This window comes from Homo sapiens, chromosome 12 (assembly GCF_000001405.40).
Source record: "Homo sapiens chromosome 12, GRCh38.p14 Primary Assembly".
Taxonomy (NCBI): domain Eukaryota; kingdom Metazoa; phylum Chordata; class Mammalia; order Primates; family Hominidae; genus Homo; species Homo sapiens.
Window position 1 is genome coordinate 78755958 of NC_000012.12, and position 7892 is coordinate 78763849.

The following is a 7892-nucleotide window of genomic DNA, read 5'->3' on the forward strand; positions in this document are numbered from 1 at the left end:
GGGATAGCATTAGGAGAAATACCTCATGTAGATGACGGGTTGATGGGTGCAGCAAACCACCATGGCACATGTATCTCTATGTAACAAACCTGCACGTTCTGCACATGTATCCCAGAACTCAAAGTATAAGAAAAACATAAAAGAATAAAAATAAGAAAGAAATTTCTCCACTGTAAATTTACTCTTTGTTAAAGTATAATAAAAAAATTAAAGAAATGTATTAAAATGATAATGACAACATGAAAAAAAATATTGTTTAACATATAATGCCACCGGCCACATCTCTCTTGATTTCAAGAGGGTGAGTAAGATTTATATTTTTTAACACAGACATTTCTGATGCACCCCAAAGTTTGAGAATCAGGGTTAGAAAATAATATAACCTTCATATATCAGTTTAAAAAACTGACTTAAAATTTTCTAGCAAGAACAAGAGTGATTCTTTGCAGCATGCTTAAACATAGAAGTTTTAAAATGCTGTTAAATTCTCTGTTAAAATATGCATGTCATCTACAATATCTGAGTTGAAGATAAAATTTATTTGAATGACTCAGTATAATAATATTTAATAAAGAGTACTATCTATGCATTTAGCAAGTTACTTAATCTACTTATATCTTGGTTTCATCTTCTATAAGATGATCAATAATAGCATTTCTATCATAGAGTTTTAAGGATTAAATGAGATAATATGTAAGGTGTTGGGCACTGGGCATGGCACAGAGTCAGCACTCACTGAATGTTGCATATTGATTTTACCATTACTATTTTTGTATGTATATGATGATGATAGTTCTTATTTAAGTTACAAAATAGAACATACAGTAAAAAGTTGTAATTTCTCACTCATAAAATTGGTTTTAATTAGTTTCTAGAACTCTTACATCAGAATAGAAAAACCAGAAGATTGTGTAGAGTGAAAGCATTCAGGCTTTTTGTAAACAGCTAATCTTAGTATAAACTGGCCAACTTTGCAAAAAAAAGCAACATAGTGAGAGAGAGAGAAAAGGTACAAACAAAATTAGTTTGCTTTCAGGACTGCTCCTTTTATCTATTGCTGCATAGCAAACCACTCTAAATTTAGTTGCATTAAAATAACATTTAAAAATATTATCTCTCATAGTTCCTGCATTTACTGGGCTCAGCCAAATTTCTCTTTGTTAGGATTTATCGTGTGATGGAAGTCCGTGACTGGAACTGGAGACATATCAAAGGCCTTTTAAAATATATTTTTTAATGCTCAACATCACCAATTATCAGCATGCAAATTAAAACCACATTGAGATGTCATCATACACCAGTCAGAATGGCTTTTATTTAAAAAGTTAAAAGAATTGGGAGACCAAGGCAGGAGACTCTCATGAGGCCAGGAGTTCAAGACCAGCCTGGTCAACAGAAGGAGACCCTGCTTCTATGAAAAGTAAAAAAAGAAAAGAAAAAAAAAAAAAAAAAAAACTAGCCAGGCTTGGTGGCATGTGCCTGTAGTCCCAGCTACTTGGAAATCTGGTGCAGGAGAAGGAAGGATCAGTTGAGCTCAGAAGTTCCAGGCTGCAGTGAGCTATGATCACACTACTATACTCCAGCCTGGGCACAGAGCAAGACCTCGTATCTAAAATAAATAAATAAAAATGAAAAAACGACAGACGTTAGCATGGATGTGGAGACAAAGGAATACTTATACACTGTTGGTGGGAATGCAAATTAGTTATTTCAACCTCTATAGAAAACAGTATGGAGATATTTAAAAGAACTAAAAATAGAACTACCAATTGACCCAGCAATCCCACCACTGGGTATCTACTCAACGGAAAATAAATTGTTATATAAAAAATCATTCCTGCCCTTGAATGATTATCCCAGCACTATGCACAATAGCAAACACATGGAACCAATCTAAGTGTCAACCAATGGTTGATTGGATAAAGGAAATGTTCAAATACACCATGGAATACTATGCAGTCATAAAAATGAATGAAATCATATTTTTTGCAGCAACATGTATGGAGCTGGAGGCCATTATCCTAAGTGGACTAACTCAGAGGCAGAAATCAATCAAATCTAATACCACATGTTCTCATTTATAAGTGGGAGCTAAACAATGAGTACACATGGACTTCAAGATGCAGATAATAGAAACTGAGGACTCCAAAAGGCAAGAGAATAGGAGGAAGTGAGGGTTGGAAAATTGCCTGTTGGGTACAATATTCAATATTTGAGTGATGAGGACACTAGAAACCCAGTCCCCACTGTGATGCAATATACCTATGTGACAAACAAGCACACATAACCTCTACATCTAAAATAAATAATAAAATACTTTTTTTGTTGTTTTACAAATTTCATATTTACAAATTATTACAAAAACAGTAATTTTTTATACCGCATACCCAGTTTTCACAATTATTAGCAATTTACATTAGTATGGTACATTTGTCACAATTAATGAACTAATATTGATATATTGTTATTAACTAAAGTCCATAGTTTATTCAAATCTCTTCAGTTTTACTGTAATTTTGTGTTTCAGGATTTCATCCAGGATAACACATTACATTACATTACATTACATTACATTACATTACATTACATTACATTACATTACATTCTATCACATTCTATCTTAGTCTGTTTTCTGCTTCTAGAACAAGATACTACAGACTGAATAATTTGTAAAGAAAGGAAATTTATCTTTCACAGTTCTGTATGCTAGGAATTCCAACAGCCTGGCACTGGAATCTTGTGAGGGTCATACCATGGAAGAAAGGCAAAAGGAGAAGTAATTACACTAGACAGAGAAATAGGACTAAACTTATTCTTTTATCAGTAGTTCACTCCCTGATAACTGACTCACTTTTGTGATGATGGCATTAATCCACTAATGAGGGCAGAATGCTTATGATCTAATCAGCTCTTAAAATCACCACCTCTTAGTACTGTTACAAAGGCAATTAAATTTTGACACAAGTTTGGTGGGGACATTCAAACCACAGCACATACATAGTCATTTATCCCCAAACCCCTTAAACAGCCTTCAGATTCTTTGCTTTTGATGACTTTGAGAGTTTTTAGGATTAACAGTCAGGTTGCTCATATAATGTTCCTCAATTAGGATTTGCCTGATGTATTCCTCATGATTTGACTGGAGTATGTGTTTTTTGGGGGAAGACCATGGAAGTAAGGGGACATTCTCATCATAAAATGTCAAGGAAACATATATCAATATGGATTCCCACTGTTGATTAGCTGTATTTATTTTCTATTACTGATATAACAAGTTATCACAAATTTAGTAGTTCAAACAACAACAACAAAATCTTACATTTCTAGAGGTTACAAGTCCAACATGAATCTCACTAAAATCAAAATGTCAGCAGAGCTGTCCTCTCTTTCAGAGGCTCTAGAATATTTTCAGGTCCTATCCCAAACTGAGGTCCAAGGGGAGTCAGTGGGCAGGAAGCTGGAAAAACACTTGAAGAATCATAGGCAGTTTCAACATGGCTTTATTGTCTCTCTGGGCGAGAAACATATGTATAGCATCAGCAGGGTAATGATATCCTTTGCAGACAATAGTGGCTCTGAGCCAAGCACAAGCTCACGTGAGTGGTCACCTAATGAGCCTCACATGGCGTTGTTACAGATAGTGCAGAGTTGTGTGTCTGCACTCCAAACCTGCTGAGTCATGCTGTGTGGGAAGGCTGCCTTGGCCTACTCCTGACTAAAGCGCAGCCATTTCCCTTACAAATAGCATCCATTTCTTTTATTTTCCAGCTTCAGGATGTTGCCCTCTTCCCTTGACTCCTGGTATCTTTCACCCACCATCAAGGTCAGCAGTGTTGCATCTCTCTGGCTTTTCCATTGTCACATCTCCTGACTTTCCTCTTGTGTTTCTTTCTTTCATCTTTAAGGATCTTTGTGATTTCATTGGTCCCACCTGAGTAATGTAAGATACTATGCCTATATGAAGGTCAACCGATTAACAATCTCAATTCTTTCTTCCACCTTAATTCTGTCTTGCCCTGTAACAAACATATTCACATGTTCCAGGGACCAGGACATGCACATTGTTGAACCAGTATTATGCCTACTGTCATAATCTTGATTACCTGGATTGAGGTAATATTTTTCAGGTTTCTCCACTGTAAATTTACTCTTTGTTTCCCCCCTTTCTCTACTGTACTCTCTACAAGAAAGTCACTATATCCACAGTTAAGGGGCAGGAAATACATATTCTACTTCCTTAAGAGCAGAATAACTACATAAATTATTTGGAAGTATTTATCTATTTTCCCCCATTTATTTCTTACTGAATCATTTTTATAATTATAGACACATGAATATTTATTTTATGCATTGGGTTATGATCCAATACTACTTAGTTACTTTGTATTTCAAGTTTTTCAGCTTGGTTCTTGGGAACTCATTCAGGTGACTTCTATATCCCTTTGACATGCCCTCATAATATAGAGTTTCTTTTTATTTTTTGAGCATGTTCTTCCTTTCTAGAATTACAAAATGCTCCAGCATCTGCATGTATACTTTTTGCTCCAGTTCAAAAATCAGCCATTTCTCTAAAAGGCCCTTGCTCCTTTTACTGAAGTCCAAAGTCTGGGTGGTAGGTAAATTTGTTGCTATTACAGTATCATTGTTTTTAGAACCTTTCAGCCGATAAAGCACAGAGACATGTGTGTATTAAACTATGCATACAAACATATCTATAAATATTTTATATTTAACTACCTATATCCATATTAAGCTAATGATGAGTTAATAATGATGCCTCCAACTCTAATCAAGTATCATATGGATCATGCTACCTTTTTACCCTTGTGTATTTATAATCTACAGCTCCAGTAATTAGAAATATGACTCTGTATTAGTTCATTTTCACACTGCTATAAAGAACTACCTGAGACTGGGCAATTTATGAAGGAAAGAGTTTTAATTGACTCACAGTTCCACATGGCTGGGAGGCCTCAGGAAACTTATAATTATGGCAGACGGCAAAGGGGAAGAAGGAACAATTTTCTAGTGGTGGCAGGAGACAGAGAGAGAGGGAGGAAGTGCCACTTTTAAACTATTGGATCGCATGAGAACTCACTCACTATCACAGAAATCCACCCTCATGATCCAATCACCGTGACACGTGGAGTCTCTCCAGTGACACGTGGGGATTGCAATTCAACATGATAATTGGGTGGGGACATAAATCCAAACCATATCAGACTCCTACCATCTTCTTCCACTTTCTTTATTGTTCAATTTCTCTATACATATATGGTGGTTTTAGAATTGTTAATGCCTATGCCATGGAAAATAATGTTATCAACCAGAATGCAATTATTTTTATTTTTATTTTTATTTTTTGAGACAGAGTCTTGCTCTGTTACCCAGGCTGGAGTGCAGTGGCATGATCTTGGGTCACTGCAACCTCCACCTCCGGGGTTCAAACAATTCTGCCTCAGCCTCCCGAGTAGCTGGGATTACAGGCAAGTGTCATCATGCCTGGCTAATTTTTGTATTTCACCATGTTGTCTAGGCTGGTCTTGAACTTCTGATCTCAAATGATCCTCCTACCTCGGCCTTCCAAAGTGCTGGGATTACAGGCATGAGGCACCACACGCAGCCTAGAGTGCAATTTTTATGTATACTTTATTTTGCCTTCAGTCTAATACTCTCCACTTTTATCTAAAGTTATTTATATCAGTGCTTTATTCTGCCACTCCATTTGGTGAGGTTGTTTTACGTATTTGTAATATAGTCATGTTCTTTTATTCCATTTAATAATTATCCTGGAATTCCCTCAACCCTAAATGATTTTTAAAGCATTGGAATACTTTTTTTTAATTTTATTATTATTATACTTTAAGTTTTAGGGTACATGTGCACAATGTGCAGGTTAGTTACATATGTATACATGTGCCATGCTGGTGTGCTGCACCCATTAACTCATCATTTAGCATTAGGTATAACTCCTAAAGCTATCCCTCCCGCCTCCCCCCACCCCATAACAGTCCCCAGAGTGTGATGTTCCCCTTCCTGTGTCCATGTGTTCTCATTGTTCAATTCCCACCTATGAGTGAGAATATGCGGTGTTTGGTTTTTTGTTCTTGCAATAGTTTACTGAGAATGATGATTTCCAATTTCATCCATGTCCCTACAAAAGACATGAACTCATCATTTTTTCTGGCTGCATAGTATTCCATGGTGCATATGTGCCACATTTTCTTAATCCAGTCTATCATTGTTGGACATTTGGGTTGGTTCCAAGTCTTTGCTATTGTGTATAGTGCCGCAATAAACATACGTGTGCATGTGTCTTTATAGCAGCATGATTTATAGTCCTTTGGGTATATACCCAGTAATGGGATGGCTGCGTCAAATGGTATTTCTAGTTCTAGATCCCTGAGGAATCACCACACTGAATTCCACAATGGTTGAACTAGTTTACAGTCCCACCAACATTGTAAAAGTGTTCCTATTTCTCCACATCCTCTCCAGCACCTGTTGTTTCCTGACTTTTTAATGATTGCCATTCTAACTGGTGTGAGATGGTATCTCATTGTGGTTTTGATTTGCATTTCTCTGATAGCCAGTGATGGTGAGCATTTTTTTATGTGTTTTCTGGCTGCATAAATGTCTTCTTTTGAGAAGTGTCTGTTCATGTCCTTCGCCCACTTTTTGATGGGGTTGTTTGTTTTTTTCTTGTAAATTTGAGTTCATTGTAGATTCTGGATATTAGCCCTTTGTCAGATGAGTAGGTTGCGAAAATTTTCTCCCATTTTGTAGGTTGCCTCTTCACTGTGATGGTAGTTTCTTTTGCTGTGCGGAAGCTCTTTAGTTTAATTAGATCCCATTTGTCTGGTGCTGGGAAAACTGGCTAGCCATATGTAGAAAGCTGAAACTGGATCCCTTCCTTACACCTTATACAAAAATTAATTCAAGATGGATTAAAGACTTAAACGTTAGACCTAAAACCATAAAAACCCTAGAAGAAAACCTAGGCATTACCATTCAGGACATAGGCATGGGCAAGGACTTCATGTCTAAAACACCAAAAGCAATAGCATTGGCATACTTAAAGTTAACGCTTTGTACAGTAAAGTTCTGTAAGTTTTAACAGATGCTTAATGTCCCGTACTGACCATTAGATTGTCATACAGAGCACTTTTACTACCCTAAAAATACCTTTGTGATTCACCTATTCTAACCACTGCCCCCGAATGCCTGGCACCCAATAATAGGTTTACTCTCTCAAGTTTTGTCATTCCAGAATGTTATATAAATTGGAATCATACAGTATGCAGTGTTTCCAGACTGTCTTATTTCCCTAGCAATATGCCTTTAAGGTTCGTCTGTGTCTTTATTTGACTTTATAGTGCATTTCTTTTTATTGGTGAATAGTACACCATTACACAGATAACCAGAGTTGTTTTATCTATTCACCTATTATTGTGGGACAGCTTGGTTGCATCCAGTTGTTGACACTTATGAATAAAGTTACTATAAACATTAATGGAAGGTGTTTGTGTGAACATACATTTTCAAATCAATCAAGTAAATATATAAGAGCATACCTGTGAAACTGTACAGTAAGACTATGTTTAGCTTTATAAGAAACTTTCAAGCCATTTTCTATAGTCATACCATTTTTTATCTTCACCAGCAATAAATGAGAGTTCTAATAGTTCTGAATCCTCACAAATATTTATATTGTCAGTATTTTTAGATTTTAGCCATTCTGATAGATATGTATTACTATCTCAATGTTGTCTTAATTTTCATTTTTCTAATGGCAAATGATGTTGAGCCTATGGGGAAGGAAGACGTAATATTTCAACAAGTAAAGAGAACATTAAAGTCTTGGACAACAGTCTAGGACAGGGAACGCCAAA

The 7892-nt window shown here is 36.1% G+C and overlaps 1 annotated feature.

The window, feature by feature from the left end:
- Positions 3239 to 4438: an enhancer, noted in NCBI's record as "MED14-independent group 3 enhancer chr12:79152976-79154175 (GRCh37/hg19 assembly coordinates)". NCBI's record gives its function as "activates an origin of replication core promoter dependent on BRD2, BRD4, P300/CBP and CDK7 cofactors, and independent of MED14, by STARR-seq in HCT116 cells {active_cell/tissue: HCT116}" and the evidence as "EXISTENCE:reporter gene assay evidence [ECO:0000049][PMID:35650434]".